Here is an 18,558-nt window from a genome sequence, read left to right as displayed (position 1 = left end):
CTATAGGAAATATTTCCTATGGGCCAGGCATTGTGCTGAGTTATTTTACATGCATTACTTTATTTAATGCTCATAATTAGTGATTACCATCATTTATATAATTGTTTTTTAAACGCTCCCATTTGCTTTCTCTTACGTTTCTGCAATATCAGTGTGTTTTTATCTTATAGATGAGGCTCAGGGAGACGTAAACCTTTCCCAGGGTTAACACTGAAGGACTCAGTTATTGATTAGTTTTCTCCAAGGTCTGACACCCACATATTGGCATCATTTTATGTTCTGAGAAAAACACCTTCAAATAATATCCTAGACAAACATTACTCTAACAAAAACAATAATACTGCTATTTATATTGTGTTTCACTACTAACACTTGGATTGACTTGAGTCCCATGGCAAGTCTAAGTGTTGATATCTCAGGTTGCAGATGTCAAAACTACGATTCAAAATACAAGGAGTGATTTGGAGTCATACAATTTTGTCCACACTCACTGAGCTACATTTATTCACTAGTTCACTTAAGAAACCAGCATGCTGTTACATTCTGGCCCTTGAGGGACAAAGCTGAATGACACCCCGTCTTCTGTAATTTGCAGGATGGAACAGTCTGTGGATCCACTTTGAACTCGTGGTGGAAGGATGTCCCTTGGAAGGGGCAGATGCTCTGATCCTGGTAAGCCATCCTTGCTCCCCAGGGGTCCCCTCTCCTGATTCTTCACCTTCCTTCCCTTGAATCTGGTGAAAGGCAGTATTTGCCCTTCTCTGGAGACATATAACTTGAACACTTGGCCCTGATGGGGAAGCAGCTCTGCAGGGACTTTTTCAGCCATCTGTAAACAATTTCAGTGGCAACCCGCGAACTGTAATCCATGAATGGGACCACACTTTACAAGTCATCAAGTCTAACTTCTAGACCAGGGAATTAATGGGGGAGACAGCGAACCCTAGAGCAAAGTGCCAAACTTCTGTCGATAGCTTGAGGCTAGTGGAAAGACCTCGAGGAGGCTACTCCAGAAGTTCAGCGCGTAGGAAGCTCCGATACCAATAGCCCTTTGATGATGGTGGGGTTGGTGAAGGGAACAGTGCTCCGCAAGGTTATCCCTGCCCCAGGCAGTCCAATTTTCACTCTGCAGATTCTCTCTGGCTCTAACTACCCCAGATAACAAGGAGTGAATGCAGAATAGCACGGGCTTTAGGGCCAATCAGACATTAGTTAGAAAAATTCCTACTACATGGTTTATGTAAACTTGAAGATGAATGATTGCGAACTCCCCGAAAAGGGCTCAGACAATGCCATGCATAAAGAGGGGCCCTGTAATTTGAGGTTTCAGAACCCGAAGTGAAGGGGTCAGGCAGCCGGGTACGGCGGAAACTCACAGCTTTCGCCCAGCGAGAGGACAAAGGTCTGGGACACACTCCAACTGCGTCCGGATCTTGGCTGGATCGGACTCTCAGGGTGGAGGAGACACAAGCACAGCAGCTGCCCAGCGTGTGCCCAGCCCTCCCACCGCTGGTCCCGGCTGCCAGGAGGCTGGCCGCTGGCGGGAAGGGGCCGGGAAACCTCAGAGCCCCGCGGAGACAGCAGCCGCCTTGTTCCTCAGCCCGGTGGCTTTTTTTTCCCCTGCTCTCCCAGGGGCCAGACACCACCGCCCCACCCCTCACGCCCCACCTCCCTGGGGGATCCTTTCCGCCCCAGCCCTGAAAGCGTTAACCCTGGAGCTTTCTGCACACCCCCCGACCGCTCCCGCCCAAGCTTCCTAAAAAAGAAAGGTGCAAAGTTTGGTCCAGGATAGAAAAATGACTGATCAAAGGCAGGCGATACTTCCTGTTGCCGGGACGCTATATATAACGTGATGAGCGCACGGGCTGCGGAGACGCACCGGAGCGCTCGCCCAGCCGCCGCCTCCAAGCCCCTGAGGTTTCCGGGGACCACAATGAACAACTTGCTGTGCTGCGCGCTCGTGGTAAGTCCCTGGGCCAGCCGACGGGTGCCCGGCGCCTGGGGAGGCTGCTGCCACCTGGTCTCCCAACCTCCCAGCGGACCGGCGGGGAGAAGGCTCCACTCGCTCCCTCCCAGGAGAGGCTTGGGGTTAGGCTGGAGCAGGAAACCGCTTTCAAGTTATGCCATGCTTCCCCTAGGGTGTCCTTTTACGCTGCAAAGTTCCTGCTGACTTTATGGAAGACAGCAAGAGAGAGACAGACAGCGAGAGAGAGGGAGAGAGAGAGAGAGAGAGAAACTTGTTTGAAAGTTTTAGTCATTAACCTTCTGTCTTCATCTCAGAATATTAACGCCCTCATGTAGTCCATACTATCTTTGCTTAATGAACTTGAACTTTTATTATTAGTGGCAAAGAAGTGGTCCCTTAGATTCAGAGTAAGTTGGAAGAAGACGTTAGTCTTCTTAAAACCATTATAATTAGAATATGACATGATAGATTTTTCTAATGTAAATATTATGTGAAATTTTGAATAATTAGGAGAAAAGATCTCTCACACACACACTTCTTAACTGTGTAATGTTTTAATAAAATTTTATTGTTAAAATTATTTCACTTCTCAACTTCAATATACTGTGGAGAATATTGGCAGTATGTTATGTTCTAAAACATATCTAAAGAATTGAAGTTCACTAAATAGGGCTAAAAATTGTGTTTAAAATGTTATTTGGAAAAGAAAGGAATCTCTGTGACTTAGCTTTTTTTTTAAGCTTAGGTTTTGATCAAGTTAATAAGATTTGCATGTAGGTTTTTCTATGACCAATGACTTATTTTCTCTATGACACTAGAGTGTAGAGTACATCAAGATATGAATCAGACATTTATGCAAGGCTAGGAAAAGCCATATTTAAGCCACATATGTGTTTTGGATGTGTTTGAGTAAATGTTTGAACTTCAACCTCCAACCCACAAATAATGAATAGAAGGCTAGGTAGTCTTCTACTTAGTTCCTAGGATACAGAAACATAAATAAGTAAATAAATAGTAAAGACACTAAAGAACAGGTAAGTTGGATAGGAATCTACCCATAAGTATGTTAAAATATATATGTATGTATGTGTGTGTGTGTATAACTTCATCGCTAGAGATACTATGGAGTGCTTTTAAAAAAGTAAACCTTTATTAAAATATAACACATAGAGAATTGTGCAAGTGGTAAGTGCCTAATGCAGTTTTTCTAAGTGAGCACTTGTGAGCTAGCACACAGATCAAGAAATATATTATCGGCACCTCAAGAGCTTCCATCACTACTGTGTCTATGGCCAGAACAATCAGTATTCTGATTTGAACAACATAGATGAATTTTGCTTGTATTTGAACTTCCTATAAATGGAACTTATTCAATTTTTTGCATTTGACTTCTTTCACTGAAAGTTCTGTTGTGAGATTCATCTCTACTGTAGGATATAGAATAATTTGTCCGTTGTCATTGCTGTATGGTATTCCATTGTATGGACACACCACAATTGATTTAATCATCCTAGTTTTGGGCTAGTATAAATAATGCTGCCGTTAATATGGGGACATTTTTATTCTTCCTAGCCCTTTTTATTTTGTCAAAGATTTAATTAATAACAAACATACTAGCAATGAGTTAAATTTCAGGGTTTCCACTAAATAATATATGTTTCTATTTAGAAGTATCCATAAATTTAAATAGTAAAATATTTTTATATGTGGTCTGTACAGGAAGATAGACAAACATGTAGATAATACTAATTTTAGATGATACAGCATTATCAGAAGATAAGACTTCGTATATGTCTTGAACACAGTAAATACTTTATATAGGAAGAATTTTGCTTCCCCTTTCTTTAGCTTCTGAGACTTACTTTATTTTGAAAATGATTGCAAATGGACACTTTGTATTTACACATAGAGTCCAGATGCCCTTTTGTAAAACCAAGGTGCCACTGTAGGAACTAGAAGCACCACAGATATTTATTTCTTTATAATGGGCATTCCACTGGCACTAGGCATCAGGACAGTGTGAAAAGCAAGATAGACACTATTCCTTTCACCATGGACCCATAGTCTAATGGAGAAAGCAGATATTGGGCAAGTAATTGTGTATATAGAGTTGCAAAGAAAGAAACTACTGGGTGACTTGGGAATATAAAAGATTCTGCCATATAGCACCTTATAAGGGAAGCTGCTAGTGCAGTGTTATCATGTGGACCAAAAATCAAATACCAGTACCACCACTTACCTGAGAAATGACTGTGGCCAAGTTACTTCTTGAGTTTTAGTTTTGTCTTCTATAAAATGATAATAATGATATGCATATATCCAAGATGCCCACATAAAGTTTCTGCTTCATATCAACACTAGCTCCTAGCATGATGCTCACAGATAACTAACTTTAGGACAATCTAGATCCAAGTGAATTATGTAAACGAAGTGCTGATGATACTCAGAGGAGGGAGAGATGGCCATCTACCGTCATCCTGGAGGAGGGGTATGACGTTTCATTGTTGGAGATTTAAAATCAGGCATCTTGGACCAAAGAAGTGAGAGAAGGCAAGATTGTGTAGCAAAATAGAATTCTAGATTCTTTTTGTGAGTGCAAAGGGTATGCTGGTAGGCAAGCAGGGAAGGAGGTAGGGATGGGATGTTGTCATTAGTACTAATGTCATAGACATGGGCTTTCCTGGAATGTTCCTTAATGCAGTTAAGCAGAGGCCTGCTCTGCTTCACTCAGGCTTAGGTTTTAACTGATGGCTGAAACTTCCCATCAAGTAGTATCGGAACCATCCATTGAACTTCTCAAAGCTAAGTTCTGAATTAATGTTATGATACTAGGAGTTGGGGTGGAGAAGTGGGCAGGGAGGGGTAGATTTATTTTTTTCTCAGGAAAAATGTCTGGTCTGTCTGTTTTCCTGTAGAATAATGCCTTTGGGGGCTTTTTGTTGTTTTATTGTTATTTTGGTTTCCTCTCCCTCCCCCTAGTGGTTAAGTTTTTTTTTGTTTGTTTGTTTGTTTTTTTGTTGTTTTGTTTTAAGAGAATGAATACTCTGAAGTTTCTAGGAAAATCTGACATACCCTCAATCCAAAACAGTCCTGATCCCTGTCCGTAGCAACGTTCCTGGCCCGGGTCACCTAGCAACCTCCAGCACAATTTCTAATTTCAATCTAGTTTCAAATTTTACTTAAGCTGAAACTACAGCTGTGAAATTCCACTGATTGAGGAAGTAAGCGTTCTGCACCAGATGGTTTATCCGGTTAGTTCTAGAAGGAGAGCTATGGCAGTGCTGATCAAAAGGAACTAAACACACACTCAGGTATTTTTGCTCTCCTAGCCACTAACTTGCCTGCTGGGTTTTGCTCTTGGCAACCGTCAGCCCCCCACTGCTGGCATGTTCCATTTGTGTGAAAGCTTTTTGTAAAAAGCATTATTTTCTCTAGCATCTCATTAACCGATAGCATTTCCTTTAGTTTGAGTTTCTCCTTTGCAGCCAAAAAAGAAAAAGAAAAAAAAAAGGCTGGGGAATATATTGAAGGGAAACAGTGATCTTACAAAAATTTGTTTGCATTAAAGCCTTGACTGATGATGTCTAGCTGCTCCTTATGTTGCTACAATGGAGCAGAGATGCCAAAATTATCAGGATATTTGTATGGTTTACCCTGTAGGGCAGTAGTTCTCAATTATATCAGATTTCTTTCATGCACTTTTACAATAAATCCTTTGAAACAACCTCCTTGCTCTCCTGAAATGAAATTCAGAGTGCATATATTTTACCTACACATATAATTTTTAAAAATCAATATACTGTCATAACTATATTATAAAGAAGTAATAAAAAGAAAGTAATTTATAATAAAATAGGCTTCACTTGAAGACTTAAAGAAGTAGTGATATGCTGACATCTTTTTGTAAAATTGCCATAAACACACCACTAGGAATAAAGACTGGGGAACACGTGTAATATTGGTGACTCAAAAACATGGTTAGCATTGGCTTTGGTGCTATGATTTTCTGAAATGGTGAACAAATGTTGCTAGAGTTTTAAACAGAACAAATTTTAATAATCTTCTATCAAATTTATCTTGTTAAATTCCTGAAAAATTAAGTTTGTATAACAATTATGCAAAAAGCACTTTGTGTGTGTATATAAAATGGAGTTCTGATCTAGACTCAGATAATAGATTTTTTTACTTAGATTTCTTATATCAGTGGTCAATAGGACATGAATGTGTGTGGGACGTGGGATTATTCTTTATTGTTCAGGATGTCCAGCAGCATACAGTCATTATGACCAGAGAAATGCCCCCACAGATTCCTAGAACTTCTCCTAAGGGATAGCACCACCTCTGTGGCAAAGTATGGGCTCTTTGCAAGCGCAGATTTTCATCTTGTTCATTTGTAGCCCCAAGATCTCCATAATGCATGACAATAAGGTGTGTTTCCTGAGTTAAAGGAGCTATAAAGAGATTTGCTAGGGTGTTGGATCGTCTACTGGCAATTTCCATGGATGTTCCAACAGAATTTAGCTTACTGCCACTGGCAATTTCCATGGATGTTCCAACAGAATTTAGCTTACTGCCAGATAGTTCACTTCTAATGTTGACTTTGATCTCTTTGAAAAGATACACATAACACCCTACCCACCTGACCAATATTTTAAATACATTTATATATTCCTACTATAAAGGTTCATATCAATACCTTCACAAAAGCCCATTCTTAAGCCAGTAACAAAAATGTACCAGATTCATATATTGATATTTGGAGTGCAATCTAAGCCTGGCTGTACCAGTTTTCTGGCCTTCCCATCCAGTTGGGACTGTGTGCTATCTACTGAGTAGAGAATACAGGTATACACAGCTACTGAGTGGAGAACAAATGATGGTGGGTTTGGACATCAAGTGTTCATTTTTGGTTTGATAAATTTTATGTGTTTGTAACATGTCTCAGAGATGTCAAGTAGGCATTTAGATATAAAATATTTTAGAGTGCAGGAGAAGCCTGGGCTGGAGATTTTTTTAAAAAATGTGTCTCAACAGCCTAGAGAAGATTTTTGGAGCCATAGAGATGGATGACTTCACAAGCCAAGAGAGAAGAGTGTGAAGCCGCCCCCAGAGCACAATTCTGATATCGATAGTCTGGTAAACAAAATGCAAATATGAACAGCAGTAGCAGCCATGTTTAGAAAAGAAAACAAAAATCAAAATAAAACTTAGCAACCCACAATAGCAGGAACTAGTGAATCGGAAATCCTAGGAACATCCGTAAACTATCTATGCTAGAAGAAAGAGTGAGGTATGGCCAACTTGAAATAGATACAAGGACGGTGTTTTTATGTGACATGTAATTAGTTTTTGGAACTCACTACCACAGAATATTTTGGGGTAACTAGCAGAGAAAGTCTAAAAAAAGAATCCTTTTAGACAGTTGTAAGGGATAAGAATAGTGTTACAACACATTAGCTAAGAAACTGAGTGGTACCCACTCTCTCTCACATTTACCTGGCCTCTCTAAATGAACGTTCTGAGGCTAGAACAGTCTACAGACACACTAAAATGGTTCTTTCCATCTACAAGTTGGCATAATTTCCGAGGTGCTTGAGTAGTTTTTTTCACCCCAATTTCTCAGAAGCACCTGAATCAGCCACACCATAAATGGATAGAGGATGCAAGAGGAAATGAAATGTAATTCCTAAAGCCCTTCCAAAAAAAGTAATGTGCTGATAATGGCTTTGATTTACCTCTTTATTGTTGTGATTTTTAAAAAAATTCACCTCTCTAGATTTATAGTCTTAATACCTATTAAAATATTTAATTTCCTTGAAGCCATCTTCTTTAAAAATAAAATGAATAGCTTTAAGATTTCTACTCCAATTCAGACTGGACCTTTTCTATAATAGCCTCTTCAATAATCACCAATAAAATAGGAAAATAGGTGTCAAGATGAATTTAGATTCAAGACAAGACAGTGACTCATCTAAGCTTTGTGGCTGCCTTTAGTAAATCCAATTTTCTTCTCTGGTCTTTGATCCAGAAACCTCAGTTCTCTTGCCATGTAATACTACTTTCTTGTTCCAAAAAAATGATTTCTTTTATTCTTAGAAATATGAATATCAGCACTCTATTCCTTAAAAAATTCTCCTGACCATCAATTTGCATCAATTTCACCACCACCACCATCACCAAAAAATGTAATTTAACAATTCAGTTGTGGGTCATGGTGACAATACTTTTGCAATGGCAGTGGTGAGAGGCAAGAGTTTCTCATTCTGAGACACATTCTTCTTGTCTTTAGCCAACATGCATAGAAGTTATGAATGTGTGTATTTTTCATATTTCACTTAGTTAAAAGCCAGGTTCCAAAGTTCTCAGTTGTATTTAGTCTCTGAGCTCCAATGGGTGACACCATTTCTATGGGTCTTACTTCCAGCATCTCTAAAATAGAGGTTAGAATAGGTCATATGTGGAAGGTCTGATGCAGTTTAAAGATTTTGCCATCTGAATTAAACACACACACAATTGTGCATTATTTCCCGCTCAAAACATGCAAATATCAAACAGACTTGTCTATAAAAAACATTATAGGAATGTTTTAAAATATTCTATTTTGTTGCCTTTGTCAAAGTTTATTCTGCCCCATTGGTTCATGTATAAGAAATTCTATTTAAATCAGTGAGACCACAAGATGAAGCAGCTTTTGAAATGTTACCTACCTTTAGATAGTAGGTAGTATGACTTATATATTTTAGAGTCAAAAATTATTCTTTTAAGCCAAAAAAGATTTTCTCATTCTGAGACACATTCTCCTTGTCTTTAGCCAATATGCATAGAAGTTATGAATGTGCATATTTTTCATATCCCATTTAGTTAAAAGCCAGGTTCAAGACATCCCCTCAGGACTTACTGAAGAGATATAATTATGGTCACTTGCAGTCTCCTTAGATGCATTGAGTGGAATTTTCTTTGAATTTGTATTCACAAGGAAGTACTTGACAACTGCACACCATTATTTGGAATACACGTCAAACCTTCAGGCAGAATAAGCATGATAATGGGTAGGTTGGCATGACCATTAACAACTACACTTGAATAATACACCAGGCTGATAGACAGAGACCTCTGCACCCACGCTCTGTTTCCTGTCTCTTCTTTTAATATCCAGTAAAAAATGTAAAAAAAAGAAAAAAAAACTAGATTGTGCTAAAATAAATGCCAATAGAAAGCATGAGCAATGTTTATGAGGATGATGTACTTGTTTGTGCTCTTTGCCAGTTGTTCCCAGTTCTTCTGCCTTCCAGAAGCTTGGTGGGATTGTGTATCCTAGCCTCCTGGTGAGGATGGGGTCGGGGAGAATGTGAATAGTTCTGGCCAGTAACTCATGAGTTAAAATGATGTAAGTCACTTACAAATTAGAGCACTTAATAGTTGATGTATACAGCCCTCCCAAAGTTGTTTGTTTTTTCCCTTTTCCTCCTTGACAGCAAATCAGCAATATTTCAGGTATTGGTTGCTATATCATCCTAGGTCCCGGACAGAGGACAATGGTAAGAGTCTTCAGCAGACCAACTAGGGACTTGACTATGTCTGAGAAATAAACCTGTGCTGTTTTTAAGCCAGTTAGATGGTTGAAGTTGTTTATTGGCATGACATAAGACCCAACCAGCCTTGACTTATTCAGTAGCCAAATCCCAGTTATATCTGATCATTGAGGGTAAGCAACTGCAAAGAACATTTACAAACCCCAAAAGACTAAATCTGTGATTTTAGATTCTTCAACTCCTTCTTCATCAAAGCTATTGTTAGAAGGATTCATGAAGAAGGATCTCTTCTGTCTTCTGCTGCTGAAACTTCGAAAATTCAAAATTTAGATTACATAAAGGGTTAGCTGGGCTGCAGAGTGGGAAGGTCAACAGGCACCAGTAGACTCCAAATCAAACACCCTATTATGTGACAGTAACCAAACAGGGATCATGCTTTTCATTGCTTCCAGTTGACCCTTCGTTTGTAGAAGTTCAGTTATCTTCATCTACAACTTTTACCCATTTAAGCCAAGCCAAAAAGAGGAAGCCATAAAATAGAAAGACGCTAATCATTTTTAGAATAGGTACTGTATTTGGACCTTACATACCATATTTCACTTAATTTTCACAAAAAGCCTATGATGCAGAGATTAGTATCTCTATCTCAGAGATAAGGAAATTGAGGTTCAGAGAAGTTAGGTAACTTTCCCTAATGTTACCCAGCTGAGAAATTTTTCTGCTCTATACTAGTATATATCTATTAGCTGAGTCCAGTAAAAAATACCCATTAATCAGAGGAAAGCCTCTGTGGATACCCTGAACCCAGAGTTTTCCACAGGGATTAAGAATGCCCAGGATGAGGCTCATGAGGGTCAAATCCTTGGGTGAAGTGATTTTAGTATACTTCTCATCCTTTTTTCAGCTCCTCCTTCAGCTTCAGGTGTTTACCATAATTCTTTTCTTTAGCAATTAAATGCTCTTGCCTTAGTGGACATGAGCCCAGATTCCCTAGGTAACAGAACATAAAACAAAAAACTTTCTGTTTTAGTACCTTTTAGAAAGTACAATCCTGGGGATGCAGGAATAAGTGTATGATGAGTAACATAGAAAAGGAAGGAGAACAAATTCAAGGGAGCAAATTACTGAGAAGCTACTGCTTAGTATAAATTACAACTGATTACTCAATCTCATAGGAATAACTACCAGAGAGGTTGTGTAAAGTACTGTATTTTAGGACGAGAGAGGAAGGGAGAAGCATTTATTCACCAGTATGAGTAGATAGGTGGATGGATGGATGGATGAATAGGTGGGTAGGTGGACAGACGGATGGTCAAATAGGTAGGTAGGTAGGAAGGTAGGTAGATGGATAGATAGACAGTAAATCATATTGAGTTTTGTGTTGCAGTTGACCATTTATATGTCAATCTTCTTCATAACTGCAAGCTCCGAGAGGGAAAAGTCAGTTGTTAAAGGCTTAGGTTCAGACGGGATAGGATTTAAATCCCAGCTTGAATGTGTGCTAGCTCTGACACCTTTGAAAAGTCACTCAACTTCTTTGAGATTCGGTTTCTTTATATGTAAAATGGGGATAATCATATCTCATTAGAGATGGTTGCAGGGGATGGAATGATAATAGCATGTGAAGAAAGGGCTGAGTATATAGCCCCATATATAATAATAGAGTATACTAAGCTATTATTTTTTGCCATATCACTCAGGGCTTCCAATATGATGTTTCGCACATCATAGACATGCAGTCAATATCTACAGGTTTAGCTTGAATTCTGTTTTAGTCCATTTCTTCTAGTTTCTATTCCATTTCATCACCACATGGCTTTTCGTATCTAATTTGCACTAGCTGTCCATTGTCATATATTGATTGGGCTTCAATACAGGTCATTAATAACCAAAAGGATTCATAAGGTAATGTGAGCAATGCATTATCTTCAAAGAAAAGCAACTGTAGAAATAAAATGGAATTTAAATATTGATGTTCAAACTTGGACACAGGGTGAGGAACATCACACACGGGGGGGCCTGTCATGGGGTGGGGGGAGGGGGAAGGGATAGCATTAGGAGATATACCTAATGTAAATGACAAGTTAACGAGGGCAGCACACCAACATGGCACATTTATACATATGCAACAAACCTGCATGTTGTGCACATGTACCCTAGAACTTAAAGTATAATTCAAAAATTGATGTTCAAAAATATCAACATACAAAAACATCCTTCCAGTTCTGGGCCAGAATGCCAGGGATTGTAGCTGGAAGACCCTGAGGTAGCGGTGCTACCCTTGTGCTTGTCAGGTGGGCCTGAATGAGATAATTACAATGAAAAATTCGGCCATCCCTGCTGTTGAATTGGCTTTCAAACCTGATGCTAATTCTCAAATCTGATGACTAACAGAAGCCCAAAGGAAGAAATATTAAGATCTGTGAGCCAAAATATGTGCAATTTCCGTATATCTTCTTCAGAAAATTTTAAGCATATGCCTGCATTACAAGTTCTCTTTTCTCAGAGATTTTCTTGTTTTTGTTTTTTGTTTTTTTGCCTTCATTTGTTAATCTGTCAAATATTAATTGTCTATAAAATTCCCCTGAAGAAGCAAAAAACATCATAAGCAAATTCAACCTAACATTTATGATTGATTCCAAACACAAACAAGATATTGCTAATTAATTTAAAAGCCTTCAGACAACTAAAGGAAACTTCTGAAGGGAACAAAAATTACACTGAAAGTTAAATTTTACCTGAAGACAATTCTTCAGCCTCAAGGGAAGCAAAATTGTGTGGAATTTGGCCCAGTGACTCATCTAATAAATCATAATTGTTTGTGCTTCTTTTCCCCTGTTTGCCTAGGAAAAAGGCTAGAAGCAAATCAGGTCTGTATAGATGAACAGATTTAATTCATTTGCCCTTCCTGCCTTACCTAGAGACATAATCCTAGGCCAAACAACTGGCTATTGTGAAAACTATTAAGCAGTGGTAGACTCTCAGGTGGGGAACTGGCAGCAGTAGATAAACTTCTCCCATGAATTGTCTGCTCTTTTCACACATTCACCTTTAAAATGGAAGTTAAGAACAAATGGAACAGTACATACAAAACACCATGTGAGATGAAAGATGCTTTAAAAAATCTCTTCCTTTAGGCAAATTCGGTCATCACTATCATTTTACAGATGAGAAAACTGCAGGCTTTGTGCTTGTCCTTGCAAATGTATCCTTTACATGGTGAATATTTATTTGCATCTGTATAATTCCAATGATCCTAATGATACACAGTAGATAATCAATATGTCTAATGATTTGAAAAAAGATATATTGAATACTTGCCATGTGTAAGACACCATGCTAAGCATTTAAGAAATATGGAGACAAATTATTTTCTGGCTGAGCTTTCTAAACAAAGTCATGGAACTGCCTTGAATCATTTGTTCTACACCAAGAAAATGATGCCAATTGGGAAGATACTGAAACTAATTTTATCAACATGTCCAAGGTGCTTTTTTTCTGGAGACAAGAACAGAGTAGATAATGAACTTAGGGCACAATTTAGGTGTCTTACTTCATACAGAACAAGAACCTTTAAAATGTCTCCAGAAATGAGTCTGATTTGAAATGTCTTCCACTTCCTACCTCCTGTATAATTACTTTGTGTAATAATGTCTCATGATAGTCTGACCCTTATTTCTTACCATGTTTGTGTCCCTTCATTGATTTGAAATATAACAATTGCAGTGAGGTAGGTAAAAATAAGTCTTATTCTTATTGTAGGGGTGGGATCATGGTTACTAAGTAGTGGTGGAGCTCAATTTGGAATTGTGGTATGCATATTCTAAATGCAGGTTTCCAAGCTGAAAGTGCTTTTGTTAATTTATTGACCAAATTGCCAAGCTGTGCACTTTTCAGATCTTACCCATTTAACACCCTTTTCTTTTTTTAATACTTTAAGTTCTAGGGTGCATGTGCACAACGTGCAGGTTTGATACATAGGTATACATGCGCCATGTTGGTTTGCTGCACCCATCAACTCATCATTTACATTAGGTATTTCTCCTAATGCTATCCCTCCCTGCTCCCCCCACCCCACGACAGGCCCTGGTGTGTGATGTTCCCTGCCCTGTGTCCAAGTAATCTCATTGTTCAATTCCCACCTATGAGTGAGAACATGGGGTGTTTTGTTTTCTGTCCTTGTGATAGTTTGCTGAGAATGATGGTTTCCAGCTTCATCCATGTCCCTGCAAAGGACATGAGCTTATCCTTTTTTATGGCTGCATAGTATTCCATAGTGTATATGCACTTAGCACCCTTTTTAAAATTATCTGTGCTATCTCTTTTATTTAATCCTTTGCTTTTTCATCCTAGCTCACCAAATATTTATAAGTCTCAAGGGTTAACACTTTTGTCCTTTTTGGCTTGTACACAATTTCTTTGGGTAATGTCACTCCAGTCTCTCTGCTTCTAGAGCAATTTATGTGCTCATAACCACGAAAGCTGTGTCTTCAGCTGCTTTTCTGTCCTGAGTTCCCAATACATAGTTTTAATTGTCTACCAGACATCATCACTTGAGTCTCATATAGAAGGCAGATAGATGTTCCAAACCAAATTCCTTCTCTTTCTTCATAGTTATTGGCTCTTCCTGCTGTCAGTAATTAATGGCAACACCACATACCTACTGGCTAGAGTTCATGGATGTGCTCTTCGATTGCTTCCTAGCACCACCCCCTCCCAATGCAACCAGCCAACACGTCATACCTATTCTTTCCTCTCATTCTCCATTACCAGTGCCCCTCACAATTTCCAACCTGTTTCTCTATTGAGTCTTTTCTTGCTCTTTCTCCCCTTTTATGCCTCCAATTGTTTTGCAGTGATCTGTGAGTATTTTAAATCAGAATGGGTTTTTGGATGCATGCTTACATTAACTTATTCAACTCCACTTAGTCATATTCTCAGAACATAGCAATTGTTTCAATAAGTGCTTGTTGAATGAATAAATGAATTATTTGAGGAATGGAGGAAAAGGGGAGAGGAGGTATAATATAAATAAAAAATCAAATAAACTGACCTTCACAGGAAGACAGTTTTTGATAACTTTCATAACTCATAGTACCGAGAGATCTTTAGTAAATTCACCATAGTATATATCCTGGATGTTTCCTTTCTTGGCTAAGACGAACTGTAAACTGACATGGTTTTAAAACTGACCAGAAGTTTAGCTAACTCTGGGTAGTCCTCAAATAGTTCTTTGTGGCAAAGATCATGACGAGGGATCACAAAAGGAACTCCCAAACCAAGTGGTTATTTCAGACTTTGTGTGGGCTTCTTTTAATGAATTTCCATAAATGGAAACCCACTGTGTCACTCATGGTTCTGCATACAGAAAGCAGGCCCAGTAGTATGGGATTGGCTGCATTGCATAATGCAAAAATAAACTTGCTGGACCAAGTGTATTCTTTTGTTTTTTAGGAAGATGCATACACCAGTAGAATTCTCTAGTCAAATTAGTTGTGATCTGATAAATTTTCAACTCAGTAGCTTTGGACAAAAGCTAGTCTTAGCACAAAGAAAAGTCAAGGTCAGTTTATCTGGACTTCAGGAAGGCTGTGATTGATCTCCTAACACTGGTGATCTTCTAACTCTATGCCCTTGAGACTGAATGAAAATTAAGCACTTTAGGGCTTACTTTTGGACAATGCGTGAAGGGAATAGCGTAAGGGAAAGCATTTGGTAAATGTTAAAGGATTTGACCAAAAAATTCATTTTATATGGCACATGCTCTAAGTTTGAATTCTGTCTGCACTAATTACTATGATGTGAAACAAGTTAATTACCCTGACTCGTTTTTATAGTTGGTGGAGACGTAATGATAACAATGATTAAACATTCTAAGTAGGTATAAACCAAAATATTATATATATTGTTTATTCTTCCACTGTCTGGCACAGAGTTGCTTTAATACATGTATGCTTGAATGAAATAGACAAAACAGGTCAGGTGTGGTGGCTCACACCTGTAATCCCAGCACTTTGGAAGGCTGAAGCAGGCAGATCACTTGAGCCCAGAGTTCAAGACCAGCCTGGGCAACATAGCGAGACCCCATCTCAATAAAAATAAAATTGAAATAGACAAAATAAAATTCCATGTTCAAAATACTCCTTTTTTTCTTCTTGCATATACCATTATGATACTTTCCTACTTCTTAAATATGGGGAATTATTAGAAATTTGTATATTTGTGACCAACAGCTGAATGATTAATTGCAAAATCAGTTAGCGCATTTAATAAAAATTATATACTTATATCTTAAATATTTTATTTTGACTTAAAACATTTAAGTAAACATTCATTCCTCTGTATTTTGAGATACAACTAAACCCCTTCTTAGAGACAGTGTTTGCTAAGTCTCATGCTGCCTTTCTTACAAAACTCTTTTCTGTAAGTATTACCCATCCATTCAGCTTTGGAACTTAAAGATATTTATGAAACTAATTGATTGAAACTAATTGATCCTTCTAGATGTTTTCCCTGTTTTAACAGTTATCTCACCTATTCCAAATTCTGCAGTAGGTTGTTTTTTCTGTGTTTTATTTGGAGGGTAAGGGAAAGGCTTCATTTTTTTCAAGTCATTCCAAAGCATTCCATTTACTTTTCATAGAAAAATAATTTTTTTCACACTCATGTTTGTTGGTTTACATAATAATTGAATTTCCTAATTATAGTTACAAGTAGCATAAACAGATTCAGAACTGACTTTTGTTAAGCATGCAACTCCACTGGTAGGATCAAACATGAGCTGGCTTGCTAGAGGAAAAGCATAACTGACAAGCTGGGACATCAGGTGATTTTACAGAGGGAATGGAAGGCATGGGTGAATCTGAAGAGGGGAGGTTGGTAAAGAGTTCTGCTATAAAGAGGGGTTCCACAAATAAAACAAGGTGGAACAAGAAGTATGAAGGGGATTAGAGCAAGACTTTTTTTCCAAGTTCACTGGGTAATTAAACTATGAAACCAAAGGATAAGACAATGATAGAGCTAGAAAAGGCATTAGAGAACAGTTAATTCAACTCACCCACCATCTTCACCTTCTACCATTGTCTGCTAGCATTTGATATGTGAGAAAAGATGCTTATGCTTAAAATGGAAAATTCTTTAACATTGCTCAATATTAAAAATGGAAGGCAAGGAGAGGGATAAAGCTAGCTGAGATGAAACCTTAACTTTCCTTTCAAAAAAGAGGAATGGAGGCTTCAGGAAGAAATTCTGGACTGATGAGAAGCACTAGATTAGAAGACTTTCAGATTCTCTTAAAGCATAAGTGGTCTATACAAAATGATAGGTAGCCAGGGAATGGGAGGACAACGAAAGAAAGAACACAGAAAGAAAATCATTTAATTCTTTTTTTAAAAGTCAAGCATAAAACAAAAAATAGAGTAGGCTTTTGTTTTGTTTTGTTTTGTTTTTGTTTTGAGACAGAGTCTCGCTCTGTCGCCAGGCTGGAGTGCAGTGGCGCGATCTCGGAGTACCTTCTTCTACAGACAGCACCTCATCCTTCCTCAGACACACCGATGCATGTGTCCCAGCTTGGGCAGATGCTCATCAAGGGTCTGCATTTTACACAGAAATGAATTTTTAAGGTTTTATTAGGTTTTGAATATTATCAAGTGGCAAAGGAGCTGTATCCAATGTTAAGGTGATCTGTCCTGTGGCATATTTTTCATCGCTTTTCCAGGAAATAAGCAGAAGAAACCGAGAGAAAGGACTGAGATGAAGAGCTCTATTAATCTTGCCCATCCTCTGTCCAGTAACTGAGTCCAGAAATTCTGTGTGGGAATTGGGGCTAACCAAAGATTGAGACCTAAACATCCAATTTTGGCCACACAGAGCCTGTCTTTTTACCAAAGTGGAAAAATCTTCAACTAAAACAGAGGCCCAATTGAACTTGCTGAAAACAAGTTTGTAATTTCTCAAGGCTTTCTCAGTTTTAAAAATATATGTGATTATTCCACGTGATAGCCTTGGAGAAATTACCTTCATTAACATACTCTCTAATTCTTAAGTTGACCTTATTTCTTCATTTCTCTGTGGGTTCCTTTCACCTCAACCTCCCTGTATCTTTAAGAAAGAGCAACAAATTTCTGAAGCATGGTTTTGGGAAACCAACAATATCATGTCCAAATACCTAGAAAAATATAAAATGCATCAGTGTTCTTGGTCATATCTGTATTTATACGGCTTCTTCTAATGAAGATCACAGGCACCATCTGTGGAGTTTTCCCATCCTATTCTCATCATTTTTTGGCAAGGGAGAAGAGTCCGTGTTGATGAACAAATGGGCACACCTGAACCATGTTGAAATGGGAAAGGGAGACCAGTGGGAAGTTCTGCTGGGGAAAACTTCAGGACTCCTACCTACCAGGATGTGACTCACTTAGCAGTGGCACTCAAGATAAAGGAATCCCTCTGGATCTCTAAGCCAGGCCTCTTGAAAGCAAACACAACTCTCAAAAGTGGCTTTCCAGGAAACTGAATGTGAACAGCAAGAGAAAACAGTATTTCTCATTACTTTCACATGTTTTTGCAAGTTGAATCAGGAAATCCTCATTTTATAATATTGAGAATTGATTACACTATAGGAGCCCTGAATTATGTATCATATATAATTCTCCTATATATATTATAGGAGAATTAATTATAGAAGCCCTGAAAGTTGTCCCATTATATATTCAAATGACAAACTAGCAACAAAGTCAGACATGTCATCTTGCTTTCTTGCATTACTTTGATCATTATTTGTAATTACTTGCTGTAATTATTTCTTCACTTATTATTGTCTGCGTGCTCACTCAAGTATGAACTTGAAGGCAAGGACCATTTGCGTTTTATGTATGCCACATGCTAAGTTCCCTCCATGATGCCTGGTACATAGTGGATGCTCAAGGAGTGTGTGTTGAATGAAGAAATAGGTTCCATCTATTTCTGAAAGATTCAGAACAAACCAGAGCTGCCACTCACTACTGGTCCATTTCTGTAATCTAGTGTCAACCCACTCCACCTGAGACAATTAAAAGCCCC

General features: G+C 38.3%; 2 protein-coding genes across 3 annotated transcripts in view; one reads left to right on the top strand and one right to left on the bottom strand.

Moving 5' to 3' along the window:
* COLEC10 (collectin subfamily member 10) overlaps positions 1-1,492 on the bottom strand; it is a 156,193-nt gene extending 154,701 nt beyond the window's left edge. For both annotated transcript variants that reach the window (NM_001324095.2, XM_005250756.4), the window contains exon 1: positions 1,377-1,492. The gene's annotated coding sequence lies outside the window, so the exon portion shown is untranslated. The remainder of the gene's footprint in view (positions 1-1,376) is intronic.
* TNFRSF11B (TNF receptor superfamily member 11b) overlaps positions 1,870-18,558 on the top strand; it is a 28,329-nt gene continuing 11,640 nt past the window's right edge. The window contains exon 1 of the mRNA NM_002546.4: positions 1,870-1,963. Within this exon, the coding sequence (NP_002537.3) occupies positions 1,934-1,963 (30 nt within the window). The 5' untranslated portion in view covers positions 1,870-1,933. The remainder of the gene's footprint in view (positions 1,964-18,558) is intronic.

Source organism: Homo sapiens, chromosome 8, assembly GCF_000001405.40.
Source record: "Homo sapiens chromosome 8, GRCh38.p14 Primary Assembly".
NCBI classification, from domain to species: Eukaryota; Metazoa; Chordata; class Mammalia; order Primates; family Hominidae; genus Homo; species Homo sapiens.
The sequence above is the reverse complement of the archived record's forward strand: the minus strand, read 5'-3'. Positions and strand labels throughout refer to the sequence as shown.